The 27,679-nt window shown below is 36.4% G+C and overlaps 1 protein-coding gene across 2 annotated transcripts in view; it reads right to left on the bottom strand.

The window, feature by feature from the left end:
• The window catches only part of SLC30A9 (solute carrier family 30 member 9), a 99,932-nt gene that overhangs the window by 18,050 nt on the left and 54,203 nt on the right, over window positions 1-27,679 (bottom strand). The window contains exons 9-15 of one of the 2 annotated variants that reach the window (NM_006345.4): window positions 22,933-23,035; window positions 12,166-12,221; window positions 9,291-9,426; window positions 7,063-7,102; window positions 5,791-5,862; window positions 5,220-5,327; window positions 1,721-1,886 (exon numbers count right to left, since the gene is read on the bottom strand). In NM_006345.4, the coding sequence (NP_006336.3) occupies window positions 1,721-1,886; window positions 5,220-5,327; window positions 5,791-5,862; window positions 7,063-7,102; window positions 9,291-9,426; window positions 12,166-12,221; window positions 22,933-23,035 (681 nt within the window). Of the gene's footprint in view, window positions 1-1,720; window positions 1,887-5,219; window positions 5,328-5,790; window positions 5,928-7,062; window positions 7,103-9,290; window positions 9,427-12,165; window positions 12,222-22,932; window positions 23,036-27,679 lie in introns of those variants that run through there. The other variant, XM_047449525.1, reaches the window with a different exon arrangement.

Raw genomic sequence — 27,679 nt, 5'->3', positions numbered from 1 at the left:
AAGGAAAATTTGTAGCTGTAATTGTCTATTTTAAAAAAGAAGAAACATCAAATTAAAAGCTTAACCTTAAGACAGTGGAAAAAGAGCAAACTAAACTGAAAGCACGCAGAAGGAAAAAAATAATAAAGATTAAAGGAGAAAGTCATGAAAAAGAAAATAGAAAAACAACAGAGAAAGTCAATTAAACCAAAAGCTGGTTCTTTAGAAAGATCAAGAAAATGAACAAACCTTTAGCTACACTGACCAAGAAAAGGAGAGATTCAAATTACAGAAATGAAAGATGAGACATTTGTACCAACACTAAAGAAATAAAATGGATTACAAAGGAATATTATAAATAGCTGTATACCAACAAATTAGGTAAATTAGAAGTAAAAGACAAATTCCTAGAATACAAGCTACTTAAACTAAGTCAAGAAGAAACAGACAATCTGAACAGATCCATAACAAGAGATATAATTACTAATCAAAAAACTACCCACACAGCAAAGCTCATATCCAGATACTTGAATTCTACCATTTAAAGAAGCTAACACCAATTATTCACAAACTCTTCCAAAAAAATAGGAGAGAACATTTCCCAACTCATTCTCTGAAGCCAGTATTATCTTAATACCAAAACCAGACAAAAACATCACAAAGAAAGGATATTAATTTGGATTATCTCACATTATGTTAATAACTCTAATACTGACTTTCATAATGCTCAACTTCTAATCTTTTTTTTTTTTTTTTTGAGACAGGGTTTTGCTATGCTGCCCAGAATATAGTACAGTGAGTGGCTATTCACAGACATGATCATTGCACACTAGCCTCAAACTCGTGGCCTCAAGTGATCCTCCTGCCTCAGCTTCCCAAGTAGCTGGAACTATAGGCATGTGCCACTGTGCCCATCTCTCATTTTCTAATCTTGTTCCAATAAGATAGTTACTTTTCAAGATTAAACATATAGGGCATAGAATATAAATCTAGTAATCATTAATATATTTTACTAATTCAGATATACGGGTCATTTTAAAAAGATTTAACTTAAAGATTTCAAGTACAATACACAAAAAAATCTTATTTTAAAGTTTGAAAAAATATAGAGCGAGTTAGTAGAAAACTGGGTTTTTAAAGGTTTGTTCTTTTATTTCATTATAAAACCACAATGCTGCTAGAATTTCACTGAAAAGCACTATTAGAATTCTGTATCTCTTCTGCTGATTATCTCCTAAGTCTCCAGTTCTTTAGTTTTACATAATTTAAAAGATAAAGATTATAAGAAAAATACTTAAAATAAGCTAAAACAAAGTCTATTTTCAAAGTAAATATAAATTATATTTAATTTGGTAATCATTGCCCAATGAACAAAAATCTTTTTAAATTTAATATATTCAATTTGTAATTGCAATGCGAATATAAGGCAACTCTACAGGTTCCATATTAAGTATTTCCACTAAGAAGACAACTACTTTGCAAACTTCCATTCTCATTATATCAACTTGACTCTTCCTTACTCTAAAAATTAGAAGTATAGAAAATTTAAAAGGAAACTTAGAAGGAGTTTCCTAAGTGTATTCTTTCTTACTTCCAGGATTATAATTCTGAAAAGTTACAGACTAAAACGTTCTGAAGACGAGGAATCCAAAACTTCCTCTGGAAGTATTTACAAACCAGGCATTTCTGTTTTTTAATATGTTTTTGTAAGCCTTAACAGGATTACTGGAATAAGGCTGACCTTACTGATGGGTCATTCTCCAGGAGTTCAGTGAGCCGTTGTACTTGTTCTGGCTGGATGGACCGCCCTAAGAGTGCTTCTGTGTTAGTGTAGATGAGGAATGCTGAGACCATGCCTAATAAGGTGCCCACACCCAAAGAACCTAGGCTGTCATACAGTGGATTGCCTAAATGAAGCACATAAAAAAATCAGTAAATTAACAGTTTATATTATTTCAGTGAACTTTATAGAGAGCAAAGAACCAGAACGAGTAAATCAAGGCACTTGAAATTTATTCCTAATTTCTTTAATTACTTCCTTTAACAACTCCTAATAGTTTTAATATACCACAAAATGAGGATGCTACAACTTGCTTTCATAAGAGTACTATGTGACATAATTAAGATCTCTTACTTGTACCTGTCATTACATATGTGAAGTTTCTGAGCACATTTAGATTAGAGACACCAATACAAAAAAATGACATAATGAAGAGTCCATTTCTTTTAGATATATCCATAGCACTTTTCCTACACCAGATAGACAAAATAACAGTGGAATCAAAAGCTGAAAGAAACCTTTTTCCGTATCTTCTTCCTACTAATGTTCTGTAAGAGAATTAAGCCCTACAGAAAATAATATGGGTGACTCTCTTCTCATCCAACCAAGGATGATATATAGCTAGTATCATTCTAGATAAAAAGGAGAGAACTTAATTCATTACATGCCATAGGTGCCTCAAGGTGGTGCTTCTCAAAGTGTGGTTCCTGGACCAGCAGCCATCACTTGAAAACTTGGTAGAAAAGCAAATTCTCAGACCTCATTTCAGGCCCCTGAATAAAAAATTCTGGATGTGGGTTTCAGCATTCTGTGTTTCCCCAAGCCCTTCAGGTGATTCTGATTCTAATATTTGCCTTAGGTTGTCAGGGCTTCTCTCCCAGAACCAATGAGAAAGGCTGATTTATCATCTATGAATGTATAGGTAATATTTATATAATAGACACCAATAAATACGTTTTAAATCTTTATAATAAATTTTACACATGGCTTTTATGACTACAAGTCTTTTTATCCCAAAGATGAAATGTCATCAATATATTTAACTCTTCTTAATGCTTGATAAAACATATATTTTGCTAAGCTGTAACACTAAAAAGCAAACTTGTTAATCTATACTAAGTGTTAAAAATGATCCGCTTGTAAAACATTATCCATTAGAAGTTTTGTAATTATAGAGCTCAAAATCAAATACTGCTCTTTAGAAATCCAAATGTGAAGAGTTATTTTTATTTAAATATATACATTCATGTACTCTTAAAGAAATTACAGGAATATTAGCTGAAAGAAAATACCTTTTTTAAGAAAACTTTTATTTCTTGGCATGTTATTTAATTTAATTTGAATAAATTAGCTAATTAAGAAAAATTTAATTCATGTAAAACACATTACATATTTTTGTAAATTTGATTTGATTGGTTTCTATTATTATGTAAAAGAAAATAAATTATTCAAAGTTGACATCTGCATCAAGTCACACTTTTCTTAAGCCTAAAATTTTGCTAGTAATTTATGTTCAAAAACAGTCTAAAACTATATGGTCAACCAGAAAAACAATCAACATTTTTACAAATATTTTGGATCACAATAAACATCAGAGAATGCTAGTTTGGTATTAAAATGCACACTCAGAATGAGAAAGAAGTATTCATATTTCAGACTATTTGAAGAAACACTGCAGAACTGTGGAAGCTCGTCACCTAAAATTATTTTAAATATGTAAGGACAAATAGAGAAGTATGGAAGAAGTTCCTTTCCAAGAGAATTCCAACTTCATAAATTGAGTCTTTTCATGCTAAATGGTTGTTTTCGAAAATAAAAATAAAATAGAATTGTCTTTTCATTTACTTGTATTTTATTGGCCCTCAAAACACTTAATTAGCTACCAAAATAAGGACACAAACAACTTAGAATTAAAGAAATAGGAAGGCAACAGTAGTTATTATTGGCATTAAGTGTGGAAAAAGACAAATGAACAAGAGCCACAATATACGGTTAAGTCCTCATTCATGTTGTCAATAGGTTCTTAGAAACTGCGACTTTATAGGGAACAACATATAACAAAACCAATTTTACCATAAGCTAACTGATACAAACAAGAGTTAAGTTCCGGCCGGGCGTGGTGGCTCATGCCTGTAATCCCAGCACTTTGGGAGGCCAAGGTGGGAGGATCACCCCCGAGGTCGGGAGTTTGAGATCAGCCTGACCAATATGGAGAAACCCCGTCTCTAATGAAAATACAAAACTAGCCGGGCGTGGTGGCGCATGCCTGTAATCCCAGCTACTCGGGAGGCTGAGGCAGGAGAATTGCTTGAACCTGGGAGGTGGAGGTTGCAGTGAGCCGACATGGCACCATTGCATTCCAGCCTGGGCAACAAGAGCAAAACTCTGTCTCAAAAAAAAAAAAAAAGAGTTAAGTTCCTATGGCATATTTCTGGTCACAAAAACATCACTCAACTTCTAAGACCCAAAACATGTCTAATATTGAACACTGAAATAAATGTGGGCTACATATACATTTTTAAAAATTAATAAAAACTATGTAAAATAATTATTTACCCAATTTTTGGTGAATCAGTGAGTATCAGCAATAGTAGGGGTGGTGAGTTAAATCAAAGAATAAATGTTTGCAAAGTGAAAATTGTAAGGAACACCTATCACCACATAATTCAAAAATAAACAACCACAAATATGTAGGCTTGCTGAGCGCTTTCATACATCAGTTATTGTCCTGCATTTGTCTGATTATCATCTACTTGAGCCTATCCTAGCAGTTCAGGACACAGGAAGGAACCAGACCTGGCCAGGATGCCATCCCATGGCAGGGCACACTTACACACACCCCCACACTCACTCAGATTGGGACTATTTAGACACCCCAATTCACTGACCATGTACGGCATTGTGATGTGGGAGGAAGTTGGGGTGCCCAAAGAAAACCTATGTAGATAAAAGGAGAATGAGCAAACTCCACAGAGATGGTAGCTCCAGTTAGGAATTGATATTTTTCGCAACAATGTTATAACAAAATCAAGTTGAACAAAACAATGTTATTTGAGGACCTATGTATATTTATTTGGAACTTTAGAGTTTATTAAAACTCTCATATTTTCTTAATAAACCTAAGAGGTTACCAAGGTAAATATTATCCACACTTTTATAGGTAAATAAAAAGTTCAGAGTGATTGCACAATTTTTTAAGTCACAGCTAGAAAGACGTACAGCATTACAGAAATCCTTTACAAATAGCCTTCCTTATTTCTAATTTAGAGACATTTTTAATTCAAATAAACCTGAATACTTCTGCTGACCAAATGTCTTACATAAGTCAATGATTAGTAGGAATTAACATTTAACAATTTGTTGGTTTAATATTATTCAATGATATAAGAGAAAATTCCCACATATTAGAGAATTATTTAAGTAGGACAAATAAATCACCTGTAATTTAAGGAATATTTACCTGTTATAGAAGTAAGGCCCATGCAAGTGGCTGCTATTATAACTCCCAAGACTGCAGCAGTATCCTCCAATAATATCACATTTGTACTAGGATCACGACTTTCCATTACTAGTCATTGGGGAAGAGACAAGACAAGAAAATTTCTAAAATCTTAACTTGATACTATCAGGTAACATTTTAATAAGTATCCATTTAAAATCAAGATATAAGTTAAGATAAAAAAGTGTATGAGAGATTATGATTTTAAAAACCTTGCTCAATGCAAACATAATTTCTTGGCTTAAATGTCAACAATAACTGATACATAAAGTCAAATTACTTTCTCAAGTTATATAACCATATAAAGAAATACCTTAGTTCACTTAAGTCAAATCCAAATATAAAGTATCCATGTTCAAATTTCTATACTACATTTCTTTTTAATAAGGGCTGAAGGATATGTAAGAGCCACACAGGGATGATATTCAGATATATTTTGTACATTTCTATTAGGAACAAAGCAATAACAGTACTAAGTAATTTTAAGCAAATAAGGGAGGTGAAACAAACACTTGGTTTCTAAAATACATACCATACTTGTAAAATGACATTCCTTTAGCCCGAGCATTCCTACGAAGTTCATTTACAGCAACAAGAAGTGTTGCTAAAAGAAAAGCATTCATATCAGCAAGACAGAAACTTCATGCCTCCAAACTTTAAAGATGGCATCTCAAAAGATAAACAAATAAGCACAACATTTTAAAACTAGGGTTGGCAATAAGGACAAGTTCTATGTTAATTAGTTGTTATCAATTAATCATTATAATAAAATGAACCCCATAGTTCTAAACCATAATAATTAAATATAATTACTAATAACAACAGCTTTAGTTTATTGAAGAGCTGCTATTTGGCAGCACCACACTAACCACATTCATTTCTGAGCCTCCCAATCTTTTGAAGCAGGTTGTGTTATAACCATTTCATAGACTTTCAAAGATGAGGGGCCCCATAAACATATACAATTAGGATCTGTCAATAAAAAATGTTAATTTTAAAAATAGATGAAGGGAACATTATACATAGAAAGTTACAATGTTTCAGAAGTAAACATGAGCACAGCAGTGAATCAGGCAGTTTTATACTGATATTAGCAGTTCTCTGTCATCATACTGCTATAGCTGTGTATTTCAAAAACTTTGAAATATTTGTCTCACAAGAGCCAGTAAATAATATTCTTCTGGTGAATATTATTAAACTCTAATTTTAAAAGTTCAGTTTAATTATGTTTTTTATACTCCATTTCAAATGTTTTGAGTATTATGGTATGATACTCAAAAATGAAACATACTTTCCCTTTTAAATAAGTAAAATAATTATTTATCCAATTTTTAGTGAATCGGCAAGTAACAGCGATAGTAGTGGTGGTGGGTTCAATCAAGGAATAATGCTTGCAAAGTGAAAACTGTAAGGAACACCTCTTACCACCACATAGTTTAAAAATAACCACAAATATGGTGGGCTTGCTAAGCGCTTTCATGCCACATCAGTTACTGTCTTCCATCTATCTGATAGTCACCTACTTGAGCCTATCCTAGCAGCTCAGGACACAAAGAGAAATGAGGCCTTGCCAGGATGCCATCCCATGGCAGGGCGCAGTTACACACCCCCCCACAGCTATCCATTACAGAACAACCACAGTACATTATGCAAAGACTTTACTCCCTAAAAGTAGAGAAAGCTTAGATGCCTATTCCCACACTTGCTTTTCTTTAATCAACAGAACTTAGCAAACTATAATAATGGACAGCTGAATATATATTACTAAATTAAGAATAGAGACATACTTTGTGACAGTACATACCTCCTTCAGATACTAATGATCCTGCTAAAATACAATATGCCTAGAAAAGAAATATTAAAATAAAGCATAAATTAAGTACTTCCAATCACAATTGTTCATATATAAAGTCCGTAATGTCTAAAACAAAAACACGAATTCAAATTTAAGCCAGACAGTAAGGTTACTAATGGGAAACAACTCAAATGAGGAGGACAATGAGATATGAATACAATATTTGATATCAGGAGTGGTAGACACCAGATACAGTAAGATCCACACCCAAACTCAAGTAACTTCTGGATTTTGCTTCCATGCCTAATACCAAGAAAATCCTGATTCAGAAAGATAAGTAGTTACAAACAGTAACCAATGTTTGTTTTTTGGTAATACCACATTCCCTGCAATCCCAGGACACTCTTCAATTAAAGATGGTAAAAAAAGCTTTAGACAGGGGTGTATCAAAAAAAAAAAGTTAACCTAGCAACACATTTTTTTTATTTTAATGAAATTCAAACCAAACATCTACAGAATTTTCAACAATGTTTAGAACCCTAGGCTTTCCTAAAATAGAGGTCTGAAAACTTTGAACCTAGTCCAACACTATTTTAAAAAGGGCCATAGTCTAATGGAAACCCATTTAGTTACTGAAAGACACAAGAGCTTTTAGAAGTTTTAAAACTTATACACAACTGAAAATTTAACTAATTACCTAATCTCTAACTACAGAGAGTGCTTTGCCCCTATAAAGTGACACTATACAAATTAGAAGAACGCTAGAACAATGAAGTACCCATAAAGTGGCCAAATCTTTTCAGAATGGAGGAAACACATTTGTTTGTTTTAATTATATGAAATGTATTATGGTAAGAAACTAGTCAATCAAAACTATAGAAAACTAGAGAATAACAAATAAGCCTAGTTTAATGTGCTTGTTATTAAGTAGATTTGCATGATATAACAGGATATTAAAAAAGTAGACAGATTGATTCTGTCTAGTTCTGACTACAACTCAAAATAGAGAAGAAAATAGGTACAAGTATCCCCACATTCCAAAAGGAGGTGTTATACCATCTATTCAGGCCTTGCACAGAAGGTAGCCCAAACCTGGGGCCTCTACCCACTAGACTACATGCTAGCTCCACATCCTCTAGACCACATAAGAAGAGCTGAAATTGAGGAGGCCAAAAATGAAGATTTCTTTGGTGAAAGCTGTTGAGCTACTAAGATTGTTCAGTAGCCTTGATGTGTGTCCCCCGGGATATTGGATATCACAGCAAACTGTCTGATGCATACCTGAGTGATACATCCATACGCAAGCCTACTAACTGATATTGGCTGTATCAGCAGAGTAGATCATTGGGCTTGAGAGAAAAACCTGCACTCCCACAGAAAGTGTGTTAAAGATGTCTGTTTTAACACACAGGTCCCTAGGAGTCTTTTATAAGGAGATCAGCTGCTCAAAGGGCATTCTTTCCAAATGCAAGACAACTTCAGCACTGTCTGGAAACCACACCATGAGATGCAGAAGCTGAGAGGGTAGGCTATGTGATCAATTTGGGCAGCCATAGCCAGAGCAGCCAAGCAGGGTAATCTCCAAGAAGTGCCCATGAGAAAAAAAAAGACAGTTTTAAACATCTACAAAGGCCAGAGGAAACCAATGCAAAATAACACTGTAGTCAGTAAAGTGGTATGTTTTTATCCCTTATCCAAACCCTCAACACTTTCCAGGGAATAGGAGAGAGGGGCAGAAGCCCCAGAGGGGATCATACGGGTGATCATCCTGCTATCCTCCCATTCCCCCAGTGCAGGCTTCCTACCTGAAGGAAGCCCAGGATGCGGGAAAAGAGAAGCTTTAACTTCAAATATAGTTCCAACTTATGACTATTACATGGGTCTGAATATTTTAATTACTGAAATGAGACTATTCTTGGGACCAAAAGTGAACAGAGGTTTTCTTGTTCTTCAACAGTAACTGGAGAAATTAGTGGAACTGCCCAAGATTTTAACCAAGGAGCAGGGCTTGATAATTGGTACCTACAGAGATCTTGTTCAACATCATTGAATCTTATGGATTTAGAGGTTATGTCCAGTCACGTTCTAAAAATTAAACTATAGATATATAACCCTACAATACACAGTCAAGAAGGTGTATGTCATTCTCCTTTAACACCAATATGACAAAGGCCTTCTACTGTACACAATCACTATGTCATAAGACATCAAAACTGAGGAGAAAAAAAGAGGATTACCCATAGAAGGGATTCTATTGGTTGAGGATGAAGCAATCCCATGACTCCATGGTACCAAGATAGTCCTGCACCCATCATGAAAATACCAACACCACTAATTAGCGAAGAAATATAGCGCATATTTGAAAATCCGTACCTGAAAAATAGAAAAGAATATAGTTCGCAAGAAATACAAATGGTTTCTTTTAAAATATATGTGCTTAATAGGTCAATGAAAAAGACTAACAATATCAAGATGTTATAATTTTATATTTAAGTAAGATGTTAAGTGCCAAACTTGAAAAGCAATATGTAAAGTGGAAAAAACTGTAAGAATTTTGAAAATACATAAAGTGAATACCATTTAATTCAGGTATTTTCTGATCTCTTTTCCAAATAGCCTATTTTGATTTAGAGAGCTACTTTACTATTATGTACCACAGATCCTGGTAAAATTAATCTTTTAAAAAATGCATTCAGATGTTTAATGAACAGGATAACATTTAAATTTCCTTGTAATGCAGCTTCTAATTGAATATTTTCATCTTTGTGTGCAGCCAGTCTATTATTTATAATACCTATAATTTGATGCTGGATACAGAAGTTTACAACACATAATTTATTGCTGGTTCTGAATAGGTTAGCACACAGCAACTTTCAACTATTACTAGAACTAAGACCTTCAGTTTTCTGGGTGTTTTCATGGTGCTAAAATCTCAATTATTTTTCAAGCATGCTTCATCAATATGTACATTATTTTGTATTATTGTTAGTACTGACACAATACTTAGTATTAAAGGTGCTCAAAAATATATTAATAACATACTAGAGGAGGAAAAGAATCACTCATTAATAAAAATATTTCCTGGAAAATTTAGTCCCAAACCCAAACTCAGTGGCACTCTTCTGAGAAATACAAATTTAAACAAGAATTCTTTTTTTTTTTTTTTGAGACGGAGTTTTGCTCGTTGCTCAGGCTGGAGTGCAATGGCAGGATCTTGGCTCACTGCAACCTCCACCTCCCGAGTACAAATGATTCTCCTGCCTCAGCCTCCCAAGTAGCTAGGATTATAGGCATGCACCACCACACCCAGCTAATTTTGTATTTTTAGTAGAGACGGGGCTTCTCCACGTTGGTCAGGCTGGTCTCGAACTCTCAACCTCAGGTGATCTGCCTTCCTCGGCCTCCCAAAGTGCTGGGATTACAGGCGTGGGCCACCGCGCCCGACATTTTTTTTTTTTGAAACGGAGTTTCGCTCTTGTTGAACAGGCTGGAGTGCAATGGCGTGATCTTGGCTCACCACAACCTCCGCCTCCTGAGTTCAAGCGACTCTCCTGCCTCAGCTTCCCGAGTAGCTGGGATTACAGGCATGCGCCACCACACCCGGCTAATTTTTTTGTTTTGTCAGTAGAGATGGGGTTTCTCCATGTTGGTCAGGCTGGTCTCGAACTCCCGACCTTAGGTGATCCACCTGCCTCAGCCTCCCAAAGTGCTGGGATTACAGGCATGAGCCACTGCACCCGGCTTTCAACAAGAATTCTTAATCAAGCTGCTCTTGGAATTCCTTTTTGCAAAGAGTAATCCTGCCATGGGGAATTCCCAGTTTATAGATGTGACAATGTGACAATCAGCTCACTCAGAAAAATTTACTTTCTTCTAAAGTAACATGAATATATATTCACGTTAAAGTAAATTAAGATCTAAAATAAATGGTATTACTTCAGGTGATTTCAAGGAATTATTAACTTATTGAAAATTTTGATTATGTAGGTCTAAACTGCCCAATATGATGAGCCACTAGCCACATGTGGCAATTTAAATTTAAATAAATTAAAACTAAATATAGTTTAAAATCTAGTTCTTCAGTTGCACTGGCCACATTTCAAGTGCTCAATAGCTACATGTAGTTAGCTACTACCATACTGGACAGATATAAAATATTTCCATCATTGCAGAAAATTCTGTTGGGCAGCACTAAAGTAGACTATAAAAATACCTTGAGAAGAAATCTTCACAACCTAAAATTTAAAATTTGTACCTTCTGTTTTTAAATCTTTTGTACATAAAACTGGCCATGAAAAAAAAATTTTTCTTAAGATGGTAAAACACTGTAATGATGGGTAATTAACACACTAGAGAGCTATTCTCTATACTAGCTTGACAGTTACAAAACATTCAAATATGTTATTTATGGGAAAACAGTAGTATTGCTTTCAAGTAAAGAAAGGCATTTCTAAAGAATAGAGGTAGACTCCTTTACAGAAATAAAAGTGCACTTTTTTTGGTCTTAAGATTTATCAAATTATATTACTGAAGCTAGTCTTAAAATGATGTTTGTGGAATTCAAAAGTGTTAGATGGTTATGTTAATAGAAGCAATAGAAAAAAATCTCTGTATCAAATAATGGCTATGATTCAAAATAATACATTCTAAAAAGTATACTCATTTTACAAATAAATAATTCTGAAATATTAACAAAATACATTTCCAAATCACAACAGGAGGATTAAAATAAGTGTGTATCTAATAGAAGTTATCATCAAAATTTTAGATTGGGCAGCCTATGAGTCTAAATCTAGAATATATGTTTCCTTGGACCAAATAAAACAGACCTCTAAGATCAAAATATGTGCTTTATTATTATCAAATATGGAGAAAACAAGATCTCCATGCCGTGCTACAAAGCATAAAAATAACTTGAACTCCATTTTCAAATTATACCTTGAATTTACTTTGACACAGTGGGAAGTTCTGCATTTTAGATACTACAGTGGAAGAAATGACCAAATCTTGAACAAACTGCAGGTACATAAATTGCAGGAGATTTCTGATATTTAGTTATTTCAATGACTTATCGCCAAAACAAACAAAAACAAAATAAGGCAATGTCCTTACGGATGAGAAGGATCTGGTGTTTGAACAGACTTACTGATGCCCAATGCTAGTAAACCCTATGAAGAAGAAGAAAAAAAGGTGAATAATCATTAGCAAGATGGAGAGTATAATATGGTAAAGCCAATGTGGAGGGTGCAGGCTAACAATGACAAAGAAACACTCAACATATGCATGTCCAATGACCCAGCAATTCTGGTTTCTAGTACTTACCTTAAAAAATAAAGATGAACTCAAAGGGGTTCAAAACACCATTGTTTATAAAGATGAGAAACATGAAAGCAACCTAAAAAAAATCCATCAATTGGGAATGACAAAATAAATGATAAACCATAAATTACTTCTACAGTAGGTTAAAAAAATAGGGTTAGAGTAGAGCTTTCTATACTGACATGGATAAAGCTCCTAGACATACCATTAAGTGGAAGAAGAGAAAAAAGCAAGTTAGGAACAGTATGTACAGTACAGAACTTATGCTTTGTAGTTTTATAAACTACATATAATGTAAAGCACAGAAAAGGTTTAAAAGAACATGCAAGTAACTATGTTTGTATCTCTGAAGAGAGGCAGAATTAAGGTAGTCTAATATTTGACTTTTTACAGGAAGAATAACTTGTATAGCTTTACAAGTAAAAGATAATAACAACTTTAAACAATATATATATATTGTGTATGGGCACACACATTTCTATTAAAACTGCAAAACCATGCACAGGAATTATATATCATATTCTTTTCTTTCCTTCCTTTCTGACTGCCTCTCCTCTGTCTCACTTGCCTTCATCATTTCTTCCTTCTTTCTTTCATTTCCACTTAGGTGGTTTTTAAAGTTTTGCCCTTTGTTAAAGAGTTATCCACTGGAACTTCTCAATAGTAGTATGCTTGTCCCTAGTAAGTCCTTTCCATCCTAATTTGATGTGAATCTAGAAATCACATCATAAGACTACCTTATTAGAACTATTTGATAAAAATATAAAGCCTCTGAGTGAATTCCCTATGTAATTTTAGTTGATTAATCTGAGGCTTTTCCTTTTTCCAGCATCATATCAAATAATCAGATAAGTGAAGTTTCTAGATAATGACTTCTTCACAGATGAGGTTTCCCTTAGGTTACAAGAAATTTAATAGACACATTTTTTCTAATAAAAAATAGAGATTAAAGAAACTTGAAAATACTTAATACAAATATATTTTTAGGTCTTAATATTGGAAACCCTACCCTAAATACACAGAATATTATAAGCTTTTACCACTGGATTCCATGGGAAAAGGGAGCAAACCACCTAAAATATACATGATTTTTCAGGGAATTAAACTAAGAGAATGACAGGAAATTCAAAGGAAGATATAACTCTTTTACACCCTGATATGGTTTGACTGTGTCCCCACCCAAATCTCATTTTGAATTCCCAAGTGTTGTGGGATCTGGTGGGAGGTAACTGAATAATCAGGGCAGGTCTTTCCCATGCTGTTCTTGTGCTAGTGAATACGTCTTATGAGATCTGATTGTTTTAAAAAGGGGAGTTTCCCCGCACAAGCTCTCTTCTCTTGTGTTGCCACCATGTGAGACGTGCCTTTCACCTTCTGCCATGATTGTGAGGCTTCCCTAGCCATGTGAAATTGTAAGTCCATTAAACCTCCTTTTTCTGTAAATTGCCCAGTCTTGGGCATGTCTTTATCAGCAGCATGAAAACAGAATAATACAGTAAATTGGTACCAGTAGAGTGGGGTGCTGCTCTAGATACCCGAAAATGTGGAAGCAACTTTGGAACTGGGTAACAGGCAGGGGTTGGAACAGTTTGGAGGGCTCAGAAAAAGATAGGAAAATGTGAGAAAGTTTGGAATTTCCTAGAGACTTGTTGAATGGCTTTGCCCAAAATGCTGACAGCAATACGGACAATAAAGTCCAGGCTGAGGTGGTCTCAGATGGAAATGAGGAACTTGTTGGAAACTGGGGCAAAGGTGACTCTTGTTATGTTTTAAGCAAAGAGACTGGTAGCATTTTGCCCCTGCCCTAGAGATTTGTGAACTTTGAACTTGAGAGAGATGATTTAGAGTGTCTGGCTGGAGAAATTTCTAAGCAGCAAAGCATTCAAGAGGTGATTTGGGTGCTATTAAAGGAATTCAGTTTTTTTTTTTTTTTTTTTTTGAGACAAAGTCTCACTCTGTCGCCAGGCTGGAATGCAGTGGCACGATCTTGGCTTACTGTAACCTCTGCTTCCCAGGTTCAAGCGATTATCCTGCCTCAGCCTCCCGAGTAGCTGGGACTACAGGCAAGTGCCACCACACCCAGCTAATTTTTGTATTTTTAGTAGAGATGGGGTTTCACCATGTTGGCCAGGATGGTCTCGATTTCTTCACCTCGTGATCCGCCCGCCTCAGCCTCCCAAAGTGCTGGGATTACAGGCATGAGCCACTGTGCCCAGCCCCGGCATTCAGTTTTAAAAGGGAAACAGAGCATAAAAGTTTCAAAAATTTGCAGCCTTACAATGCAATAGAAAAGAAAATTCCATTTTCTGAGGAGAAATTCAAGCCAGCTGCAGAAATTTGCATAAGTAATGAGGAACTGAATGTTAATCACCAAGAAAAGGGGGAAAATGTCTCTAGGGCATGTCAAAGACCTTTGTGGCAGCCCCTTGAATCACAGGCCTGGAGGTTTAGGAAGAAAAGTGGTTTTGTGGGCTGGGCCTAGGGTCCCTCTGCTGTGTGCAGTCTGGGAGCTTAGTGCCTTGCATCCCAGCTGCTCCAGCTGTGATTAAAAGGGGCCAAGGTACAGCTCCAGCTATTGCTTCAGTAGGTGGAAGCCCCAAGCCTTGGCAGCTTCCACGTGGTGTTGGGCCTGTGGGTGCACAGAAGTCAAGAACTGAGGTTTGGAAATCTCTGCCTAGATTTCAGAGGATGTATGGGAAACACCTGGATGCCCAGGTAGAAGTTTGCTGCACAGGCGGGGCTCTCATGGACAACCTCTGCTAGGGCAGTGCTTAAGGGAAATGTGGGGTGGGAGCCCCCACACAGAAAACCTACTGGGACACCACCTAGTGGAGCTGTGAGCAGAGGGCGGCCATTGCCCTCCATATCCCAGAATGATAGATCCACTGACAGCTTGCACAGTGCACCTGGAAAAGCCACAGACACTCAATGCCAGCCCCTGAAAGCAGCCAAAAGTGGGCTATATCCTGCAGAGCTAAAGAGGTGGAGTTGCCCATGGCTGTGGGAGCCCACCTTTTGCATCAGCGTGACCTGGAGGTGAGACATGGAGCGAAAGGAGATCATTTTGGAGCTTTACGAATTGACTGCCCCGCTGGATTCTGGACTTGCATGGGGCCTGTAGCCCCTTTGTTTTGGCCAATGTCTCCCTTTTGGAGACATTTACCCAATGTCGCCAAATGGAGACATGGTATTTACCCAATGTCTGTATTTACCCAATGCCTGTACCCTCATTGTATCCAGGAAATAACTAACCTGCTTTTGATTTTACAGGTTCATAGGCAGAAGGGACTTGCCTTGTCTTAGATGACACCTTGGATGGACTTTTGAGTTAATGCTGAAATGAGTTAAGACTTTGGGGGACTGTTGGGAAGGCATGACTGGTTTTGAAATGTGAGGACATGAGATTCGGGAGGGGCTGGGGCGGGAAGATATGGTTTGGCTGTGTCCCCACCCAAATCTCATCTTGAATTCCCACATGTTGTGGGAGGGACCTAGTGGGAGGTAACTGAATCATGGAGGCAAGTCTTTCCTCGGCTGTTCTCGTGATAGTGAATAAGTCTCACAAGATCTGATGGTTTTAAAAAGGGGAGTTTCCCTGCACAAGCCCTCTTCTCTTGTCTGCTGCCATGTGAGACATGCCTTTCACCTTCCACCATGATTGTGAGCCTGCCCTAGTCACAATTAAACCTCTTTTTTTTGTAAATTGCCCAGTCTTGGGTATGTTTTTATCAGCAGTGTGAAAATGGAATAATACACACCTGTACATTAAAAGTGACAGTCATTATTCACATTATGTGTATATATGTATACATATATATGTATTTATATTATTTTTAAAATATTCAATAAACATTCAACTATTTAAAAATCCTTAATATTCAGTTGGCTGTGCAATGAAGTGTGAGATACCGTCAACTATTTTATAAAATGAATATGGACCATATTTATTAGTTCTAACAAAAATGAGACCACCCCAACCAGCTCTCCTCAGAGGTAAGACAGAATCACAGTTATATTTGATATGTATCCTTCCAGACCTTTTTCTACACATTTACAACATAAATCTCTATCAGTACGTATATATAACCTACAGAGCATTTGTTTAGTTTGCAGCATAACGAACATTAACATCTAGTGGCTAAGAAGTACTGTAAATGCTCTCTACTCCATGATCACCCTTCACGTTTCTGGTGTTCCTTAAGTATCATACTATCCAGCACCTGCATAAATGGTACCTTAGAAGATCTTTCTAGTTGTTTTATGTGCATATAACCGCATATAACCTGTTTAAAGAAGACAGAGAAAGAACCATGTCTTCTTCTAAACACTTGCTACATTGCAAACTCAGGTGCTCAATAAATTCATCTCAGTTGATATTAAATGATACGATGTGCAATATTTAACAGAAAAGTTTTCCAACATGAACTGTAACAGAAATTGTAAGGCTAACATGGTGAAACCCTGTCTGTACTGCAAATACAAAAAACTAGCCGGGCGTGGTGGCGGGCGCCTGTAGTCCCAGCTATTCGGGAAGCTGAGGCAGGAGAATGGCGTGAACCTGGGAGATGGAGCTTGCAGTAAGCCGAGATTGTGCCACTGCATTCCAGCCTGGGCAAGACAGCGAGACTCTGTCTCAAAAAATAAGTAATAAATAAATAAAAAACTACATTATAATTAGAGACACAGGTCTAATTTAAAAGTTGGAGGTACTTAAGTCTCTCAAGAAGTGAGGGAAAACATATGGCATAAAAATATTACAATGAATTAAAATTTTAAAAATATTATAGGTCTCGAAAGAAACAACTTTCTGAAATACAATTTCCATCTATTCAGAAAGGTCCAGTTGAAATATTTTTAACTGAAGTCTTTTTGAAAACTCTAAGAGACGGGGTTTTGCCATGTTGGTCAGGCTGGTCTTGAACTCCTGACCTCAGGTGATCTGCCTGCTTCGGCCTCCCAAAGTGCTGGGATTACAGGCATGAGCCACCATGCCCGGCCCTGATAGAACATTTTTAAAAACTCAAATCATCCATCATTAAGCTTTAACAATTATAAATATGTAACCAAATATGTTTTATTTCATCCATATCTACTCCCTCATGAATATTTTGAAGTAAATTCCAAGCATCGTACCATTTCATCTTTAAATATTTTGGATGAATCTCTTTAAAAACTAGGCTTTTTAGAAAATACAGCCACAAGACTATTATCAGACTTTTAAAAATCGATACTAATTCCTGGCCGGGTGCGGTGGCTCATGTCTGTAATCCCAGCACTTTGGGAGGCCGAGGCAGGTGGATCACAAGGTCAGGAGATCAAGACCATATCGAAACCATCCTGGCTAACACGGTGAAACCCCGTCTCTACTAAAAATACAAAAAATTAGCTGGGCGTGATGGCAGGCACCTGTAGTCCCAGCTACTCGGGAGGCTGAGGCAGGAGAATGGTGTGAACCTGGGAGGCGGAGCTTGCAGTGAGCTGAGATCATGCCATTGCACTCCAGCCTGGGTGACAGAGCGAGACTCTGTCTCAAAAAAAAAAAAAAATCAATACTAATTCCTTACTATTATCAAATATCTACTAAGTAATCACATTTCCACATAGGGAGAATTTTTTTGAGGTAAAATTCACATACAATGAAATGCACAAATCCTGAATGTACAGTTTTGTTTTTGTTTTTGTTTTGAGATGTCTAGTTCTGTCGCCCAGGCTGGAGTACAGTGGTGCCATCTTGACTCACTGCAACCTCTGCCTCCCGGGTTCAAGTGATTCTCCTGTCTCCATCTCCTGAGTAGCTGGGATTACAGGCATGTACCACCACGCTCAGCTAATGTTTTTGTATTTTTAGTAGAGATGCGGGTTTCACCGTATTGGCCAGGCTGGCCTCGAACTCCTGACCTCCAGTGATCCGCCCACCTCGGCCTCCCAATGTGCTGGAATTACAGGCATGAGCCACCGTACCTGGCCCAGAATGTACAGTTCTGGTTGTTAACAAATACACATACCCTTGAAACATATATTCCTATGAAGACACAGAACCTTTCCATCATTCCCAAAAAGCTCCCTGTGCCTCTTTCCTCCCCGACATCAGACGCAACCATTTTTCCCAATTTTTTTAAACTATTAAAAATTAAAGTTCCTTGCTGGAGATACATCTATGTTGCCAGTCAGAAAAGTACTTCATTCCCTTTTATTGCCAGATAATATTCCATTGTATGAGTATACCACAATTTGTTTATCTGCTGTACTGCTGATAAACATTTGGGTTGATTCCAATTTTTTCAGCCATTATAAGTAAAGCTGCTATAACATTCCTTTTTTTTTTTTTTTTTTTTTTTTTTTTTGGAGACCGAGTCACTCTTGTCATCCAGGCTGGAGTGCAGTGGTGCAATCTCGGATCTTGGCTCACTGTAACCCCCGCCTCCCGGGTTCAAGCGATTCTCCTGCCTTAGCCTCCCGAGTAGCTGGGATTACATGGGCCCATCACCATGCCCAGCTATTTTGTACTTTTAGCAGAGATGGAATTTCACCATCTTGGCCAGGCTGGTCTCGAATTCCTGACCTCAGATGATCTGCCTGCCTTGGCCTCCCAAAGTGCTCGGATTACAGACGTGAGCCACCGCGCCCAGCCAACATTCTTATACAAATCTTTTGGGACCATTCATTCCCACTTCCCTTGGGTAAATACTTAGAAGTGGAATTGGTGGGTCACAGGATAAGTATATGTTTATAGGAGGCTGCCAAATATTTTCCAGAGTGGTTGTACCATTTTAGTAATACACCAGCAATGACTGGGAGATCTGGCTGCTCCACATCTTCACCAACATTTGGCTGTCAGGTTTTTACTTGTAGCCATTATAGTGGATATGCAGAGATGTCTTGTGGTATTAATATACATTTCCTGATCATTAACGGTGTTAGCACATTTTCAGGTGTCCACTGGCCACCATTCATGTTTCCTTATTTGTGAAGTACCTGCCCAAATCTTTATCCTTGGGGGGAAAAAACTGGTTCTCATTTTATTACTGAATCGTGGAATTTCTTAATCCTGGATACCAGTCCCTTGTCAGAATGCTTTGTGACTATTTTCTCCCAATCTATGCGTATTTATTTCCTTAAGGATGTCTTTCAATGAGCAAAAGTTTTTAATTTTGATGAAGTTGAATTTGTAAATCTTATTTTATGATATTGTTTCTGTGTCCTATTTATGAAATCTTTGCCTACCAGGTCTAAAAGATATTCTCCTAGGTTTTCTTCTAGAATCTTCATAGTTTTAACTTTTATATTTGGACTATGATCCATTTCAAACTTGTATACAGTGTGTGAAGTAGGAGTCAAGGTCCTTTTTCTCCCCATATGGATCCAATTTTTCCAACATTATTTGTTTTAAAAAGTTTCATTTCCTCACTCAATTGCTTTGATACCTTTGCCGAAAGGCACGGGCCATGTAAATGTGGCTCTGTTGTTGGATCCTCAATTTTGTTCCATTGATTTGTCAATCCTTATGCCAGTAACTCACTGTCCTAATTTCTATATAAGTTTATAATGTCTTGAAGTTCTCCAAATTTCTTGTTTCAAGATTGCTTTGAATATTCCAGGTTCTTTGCATGTCCGTATGAATTTTGGAATTTATTCGGTTTGTCAATTGTACAGAGAAGTCTGTTCATATTATGAATGGAACTCCATTATATCTGTAAATCAATTTAGGGAGATTTGACAGATCTATGACATCCAATCTATGAACGCGGTATTGTATCTCTCCATTTCTTTAGGTCTTCTTTGATTTCTCTCAGCAACATTTTATGATTTTCAGCGTAAAGGTCTTGTATGTCTTTTGCTAGATTTATCTCTAAGTATTTAATATTTTGTGATACTACTTATGGAATTTATTAAAATTTCCTTCCCCATTTATTTGCTGATAGTAGAAATGCAATTAATTTCTTCATATTAACCTTCTATACTTACTGATTTTGAATGTTAAACCAACTTTACACTCCTGAAATCTTACTCACTTATGATATAATATCATTTTTATATATATCATATTTATATATTTATATAATAAAATCTGATTATATTTTAAGGAGTTTTATATCTGTGTTCATGAGGAATAACTGGTCTGTAGGGTTTTTTCCCTCTCATAATGACTTCGTAAAATTTTGGCATCAGGGTTATACTAGCCTCATTAAAGCAGTAGAAAAACATTTCATTCTCTATTTCTGAAAGTCTGTGTACTCAGCATTGTTTCTTCCCTAAATGCTTGACAGAATACTCTTGATATTGTTCCATAGGTTACCAAGGCTTCCTCCATTTTTTTCAATCTTTTTTGTCTGTGGCTTTAGTAAGAATATTTTCTGCTGTTACATATTCAGGTTCACTGACTGTTTTACCTGCAGTGTCTAATGTGCTGTTAATTCTATACAGTGAATTTTTCACACCAGATATATTTTTTTAGCTCTAAAAGTTTCATTTGGTTTATTTTTTATACCTTTGATTTATCTTCTTATGTTCATATTTTCCTTTCAATACATGACTGTACTTGAAATAGCTGTTTAATATCCTTGTCTGCTAATTCTATCATCTGTTTAGTCTGCTTCCGACTGATTTTTCTCCTGGTTATGAGTCAAATTTTCCTGCTTCTTATACTGGCGATTAGTCTTTTTTATTGGATGCTAAACACTGTGAATGTTATACTGAGTGTTTGGATTTTGCTGCCTTTATTAAAGAATGTGAGGCTTTGTTCTGGCAAGTGATTAAATTATTTGAAGATCAGCTTGATCCTTTAGAACTTTTAGGAAGATTTGTTAGGGAGGGTTCTAGAACAGCCTTTACGTTAAGAATAATTTAGCCCTACTCCTAAGGTGAGCCTTCCATTGGCCTCGATAATCAATGAGAACTCTCTTACGTCAGCTAGTCAGAACCTGAATGTAACCTAGCTTTGTGTGAGCAGTGGGAATTAGTCAGTTACTGCTCCCTGCTGGTTCTCTGCCCAGATTGATGCTCACATCTTACACATGTGTAACTTAACATTCAGCAAACATTCAATTCAAGGAAATCCCTATGTAGACTTCTATAGCTTTTTGTCCTTGTAGCTCCTTCCTCTGTGGAACTCTTCCTTGTAAGTTCTAGCCACCTCAGACACCCTGAACACTGATTTCTGTCTTCTCAACTCAATGAGACTGTTATTTCCCATCCTGCTCCACTATCCCAAATATGTGTTCAAGCAAAAAGCCAGAGAGATCAGAGAGTTCAAATAATTTGTTTCTTATCTCTCAGAGATCATGGTCTTATGCTGCTATTATCCAATATACTGTCTAGCTTTTAGTTGTCTATGGCAAAAGATTAAACTCAATCCCTGTTAGTCTGTCATGGGTGAAAGCAGAAGTTCTGAACATAGTATTTTGCAACTTGATTTTTTACTCAATTTATCATGGTTATCATTCCAGGTCAGTACACAGATATCTACTACATTCTTTTTAAATGCCTGAATAGCATAGAGAATGAACACTTAAACACTGTCTTCAATGTTTGAAATAAAAACTAATATTGAAACTAATAACATCATACATATCTCCTTGCCATATGGACAAATATTTCTGTATTTCAACTTTCCTCGATAAGCTTACAAGAAAATAGAGATTATAAGTTATATATCTCTCCCTATCCCCTCTCCTCCCACTGCATACCACAGTTGAATGGTAAAATTTTATAGAGACAGTATTTAAGTATATATTGAGTATAAAAATTAAGTTCAAGGTAAATACTTAGTACTAATGGCAAACGCTTGTCTTCTTTCCTTACTTTTATGAAGGGTTTTAATCCATCTGATTTGACAGTGAGTGAGACAAGTTCACAGGCTTAATTTTTAATTAATATTGCTCTCCTTGCTCCTTATCTTCACGTTATTTTTATCCTTGTCTTAAATATTCTTATTTTACCTGTGTCTCTCATTGAAGTTCTCCCAAATCAGTTTTTACATAACAGGACTAAAAATAAGTAAATATTGAAAAGGTATCCTCTTAATATACCACACTCTTTAAAATGTAATAGGATGCACACACAGAAATTTTTATTATATTCTTAGAAAAGTTTTGGGTTTCTAGTTTTCACAATTTGGGCCACAGGGGGTTTAGAAGGTCTTTTAATTGTATTAATACAAAAATTTTTCTCCATTTGCAAAGCCAAGGAAAGTAATTCAAATTATGAATCTAATGTGAAAGCATTTTAACCAATTACATATGATTTTACATCTTTATTCCAAAAGTTTAAATTCATTGACTATTACAGTCATTGAGAATTCATATTCAGAGACCAGATTTCTGCTCAGTGACTGACAATGTTATACTTCACATTCCATTGTCAGAGGTTCTTAAAGCATAACAATCTGCTTTAAAATACTATGATTAAATTTCTATGCACTTCATTGCTGAAAAGTAAACTTTTATTTTATCCCACAAGCCAACTACTGGAATCATTCAGTTTTAAAATAGATCAACTTTTAGATTAAAGCCTACAACTATTACTTTAAAATTGACTTATAAAAAAAGCTTTAGTCCTCACCTGATTACAAGTATCAGATAATGAGTGTATAGCTTCTGAGAACATACTTGCTGAACCGGTATAAATCCAGGCAAGAAATTTAAAGAAGCAGTTTAATCCATTGCTAGAAGAGAAAGAGAAAACAATTTAGCATAGGTTTGGACAAAAATTTAAGCCAAAAGCATACTCAATCAGCTGTATATCTCTACACTAGATTCTGTTGAAAGTAAAATTAGGCTAAGCACAATGGCTCACACCTATAATGCCAACATTTTGGGAGGCTGAGGTGGGAGGATGGCTTGAGGACAGGAGTTCAAGACCAGTCTGGGCAACAAAGTAAGACCCCATCTCTACAAAAAATTTTTTAAAAACTTAGTCTGGTGTGGTAGTGCACGCCTTTAGTCCCAGCTACTGAGAGGCTGAGGTGGGAAGATCATCTGAGCCCAGGAGTTTGAGGCCGAAGTGAGCTATGATCGTGCCACTGCACTCCAGCCTAGGCAAGAGAGTGAGACCCCATCGCTAAAACAACAACAACAATAACAAAAAAAACAAGTACAATTAAAAGAATCCCTAGCCTTAAAAAACTTTGTTTAGGTAACAAGAGTAAAAATTTGAAAAAATATAGATTATGTACTGTTAAGAGGCATGCTATGTGTAAGCAAATTACTTAAGTATATTTTGAAAACTGGTGAGAAAAGATGGTCTTCTATATGTGGACAAGATAAAATGTAAAAGAAAATTATGTGTTTTAGGTAGATAAAAGCAGATCTGCACCTGATACTGTCCATTGGGCCAGTGTCAAAGGCAAGACTTCAGTGAAAATCTGTTTACTTAAGGAGGCAGATGCCAGAGGTGACTCTAAGCAGTCTCAGAGTCATACTAGAAGCAGCTAGATGCCAAAATAAACAGTTAACTCTGAGGAAACTAGCTGCTCAGATACTAACAGTAATGACTAATATGATTTATCTCAGACGTTATGCTAGTGAGTTACCATGTTATATTACAAGTCTGTTATACAAATATTAACACCCCCATTTTATAAATGAGAGAACTGTATGTCCCCTTTTAGCTACCCTTTTCCCATCTCCTCCACCTCAGATAACTTCTTAAAAACATCATATTTATTCTGTCTGTCACAGTTTTCATCTTATCAATACCACCTACCATTCCATACTACTAAATTCCTGGAAATATTTTAGCATTTCTCTTAACCTCCTGGGAGCATCTGACACTATTTTCTTCTTTTTTTAAACAATGTTTATTTATTTTTTAAATTTATAATTTAAGTTTTGGGATATATGTGCAGAATGTGCAGGTTTGTTACATAGGTATACATGTGCCATGGTGGTTTGCTGCACCCATCAACCCGTCATCTACATTAGGTATTTCTCCTAATGCTATCCCTCCCCTAGCCACCCACCCCCCAATAGGCCCCAGTGTGTGATATTCCCCTCTCTGTGTCCATGTGTTTTCATTGTTCAGCTCTCACTTATGAGTGAGAACATGTGGTGTTTGATTTTCTGTTCTTGTGCTAGTCTGCTGAGAATGATGGTTTCCAGCTTCATCCATGTCCCTGCAAAGGACATGAACTCATCCTTTTTTATGGCTGCATATTATCCCATGGTGTATATGTGCCACATTTTCTTTATCCAGTCTATCATTGATGGGCATCTGGGTTGGCTCCAAGTCTGCTAATATGAATAGTGCTACAAAAAACATACACGTGCATGTGTCTTTATAGTAGAATGATTTATAATCTATTGGATATATACACAGTAATGGGACTGCTGGATCAAATGGTATTTCCGGTTCTAGATCCTGGAGGAATCGCCACACTGTCTTCCACAATGGTTGAACTAATTTACACTCTCACCAACAGTGTAAAAGTGTTCCTATTTCTCCACATCCTCTCCAGCATCTGCTGTTTCCTGACTTTTAAATGATCGCCAATCTAACTGGCGTGAGATAGAATCTCATTGTGGTTTCGATTTGCATTTCTCTAATGACCAGTGATGATGAGCTTTTTTCCATATGTTTGTTGGCTGCATAAATATCTTCTTTTGAGAAGTGTCTGTTCATATCCTTCACCCACTTTTTGATGCAGTTGTTTGTTTTTCTTGTAAATTTGTTTAAGTTCCTTGTAGATTCTGGATATTAGCCCTTTGTCAGATGGATAGATTGCAAAAATTTTCTCCCATTCTATAGATTACCTGTTCACTCGGATAATAGTTTATTTTGCTGTGCAGAAGTTCTTTAGCTTAATTAGATCCCATTTGTCAATTTTGGCTTTTGTTCCCATTGCTTTTGGTGTGAAAGTCATGAAGTCTTTGCCCATGCCTATGTCCTGAATGGTATTGCCTAGGTTTTCTTCTAGGGTTTTTATGGTTTTAGGTCTTACGTTTAAGTCTTTAATCCATCTTGAGTTAATTTTTGTATAAGGTATAAAGACAGGGTCCAGTTTCAGTTTTCTGCATATGGCTTGCCAGTTTTCCCAGCACCATTTATTAAATCGGGAATCCTTTCCCCATTGCTTTTGTCAGGTTTGTCAAAGATCAGATGGTTGTAGATGTTTGGTGTTATTTCTAAGGCCTCAGTTCTGTTACATTGGTCTATATATCTGTTTTGGTACCAGTACCATGCTGTTTTGGTTACCGCAGCCTTGTAGTATAGTTTGAAGTCAGGCAGCATGATGCCTCCAGCTTTGTTCTTTTTGCTTAGGATTATCTTGGCTATACAGGCTCTTTTTTGGTTCCATATGAAATTTAAAGAAGTTTTTTTTCTAATTCTGTGAAGAAAGTCAATGGTAGCTTGATGGGGATATCATTGATTCCATTAATTACTTTGCGCAGTACGGCCATTTTCATGATATTGATTATTCCTATCCACGAGCATGGAATGTTTTTCCATTTCTTTGTGTCCTCTCTTATTTCCTTGAGCAGTGGTTTGTAGTTCTCCTTGAAGAGGTCCTTCACATCCCTTGTAAGTTGTATTCCTAGGTATTTTATTCTCTTTGTAGCAACTGTGAATGGGAGTTCACTCATGATTTGGCTGTTTGTCTATTATTGGTATGTAAGAATGCTTGTGATTTTTGTACATTGATTTTGTATCCTGAGACTTTGCTCAAGTTGCTTATCAGCTTAAGGAGATTTTGGGCTGAGATTATGGGGTTTTCTAAATATACAATCATGTCATCTGCAAACAGAGACAACTTGACTTCCTCTCTTCCTATTTGAATACCCTTTATTTCTTTCTCTTGCCTGATTGCCCTGGCCAGAGCTTCCAATACTATGTTGAATAGGAGTGGTGAGAGACAGCATCCTTGTCTTGTGCTGGTTTTCAAAGGGAATGCTTCCAGCTACTGCCCATTCAGTATGATATTGGCTGTGGGTTTGTCATAAATAGCTCTTTTTATTTTGAGATACGTTCTGCCAATACCTAGTTTAAGGTGAGAGTTTTTAGCATGAGGCGGTGTTGAATTTTATTGAAGGGCTTTTCTGCAACTACTGAGATAATCATTTGGTTTTTGTATTGGTTCTGTTTATTTAATGGATTACATTTATTATTTTGCATATGTTGATGCATATGTTGAACCAGCCTTGCATCCCAGGGATGAAACCAACTTGATGGTGGTGATAAGCTTTTTGACATGCTGCTGGATTTGCTTTGCCAGTATTTTATTGAGGATTTCTGCATCGATGTTCATCAAGGATTTTGGTCTGAAATTTTCTTTTTTTTGTGTGTCTCTGCCAGGTTTTGGTATCAGGATGATGCTGGCCTCATAAAACGAGTTGAGGAGGAGTCCTTCTTTTCCTATTGTTTGGAATAGTTTCAGAAGAAATGGTACCAGCTCCTCTTTGCACCTCTGGTAGAATTTGGCTGTGAATCCGTCTAGTCCTGGGCTTTTTTTTTTTTTTTTAGTTGATAGGCTATTAATTACTGCCTCAATTTCAGAACTTGTTATTGGTCTACTCAGGAATTCAACTTCTTCCTGGTTTAGTCTTGGGAGGGTGTGTGTGTCCAGGAATTTATCCATTTCTTCTAGATCTTCTAGTTTATTTGCGTAGAGGTGTTTATATTATTCTCTGATGGTACTTTGTATTTCTGTGGGATCAGTGGTGACATCCCCTTTATCATTTTTCATTGTTGTCTATTTGATTCTCCTCTCTTTTCTTTTTTATTAGTCTGGCTAGTGGTCTATGTATTTTGTGAATCTTTTAAAAAAACCAGCTCCTGGATTCACTGGTTTTTTGAAGGGTTTTTGGTGTCTCTATCTCTTTCAGTTCTGCTCTGATCTTAGTTATTTCTTGTCTTCTGCTAGCATTTGAATTTGTTTACTCTTGTTTCTCTAGTTCTTTTCATTGTGATGTTAGGGTATCGATTTTAGATCTTTCCGACTTTCTCCTGTGGGTATTTAGTGCTATAAATTTCCCTCTAAACACTGCTTTAGCTATGTTCCAGAGATTCTGGTACACTGTGTCTTTGTTCTCATTGGTGTCAAGGAACTTATTTATTTCTGCCTTAATTTAGTTATTTACCCAGTAGTCACTCAGAAGCAGGTTGTTCAGTTTCCATGTAGTTGCGCGGTTTTGAGTGAGTTTCTTAATCTTGAGTTCTCATTTGATTGCACTGTGGTCTGAGAGACTGTTTTGATTTCTGTTCTTCTGCATTTGCTGAGGAGTGTTTTACATCCAATTATGTGGTCAATATTAGAATAAGAGTGACAGGGTGCTGAGAAGAATGTAAATTCTGTTGACTTGGGGTTGAGAGT

The sequence above is a fragment of the Homo sapiens genome, chromosome 4 (genome assembly GCF_000001405.40).
Source record: "Homo sapiens chromosome 4, GRCh38.p14 Primary Assembly".
NCBI classification, from domain to species: domain Eukaryota; kingdom Metazoa; phylum Chordata; class Mammalia; order Primates; family Hominidae; genus Homo; species Homo sapiens.
Note: the sequence above shows the minus strand (reverse complement) of the source record. Positions and strands in the feature narration are given on the sequence as shown.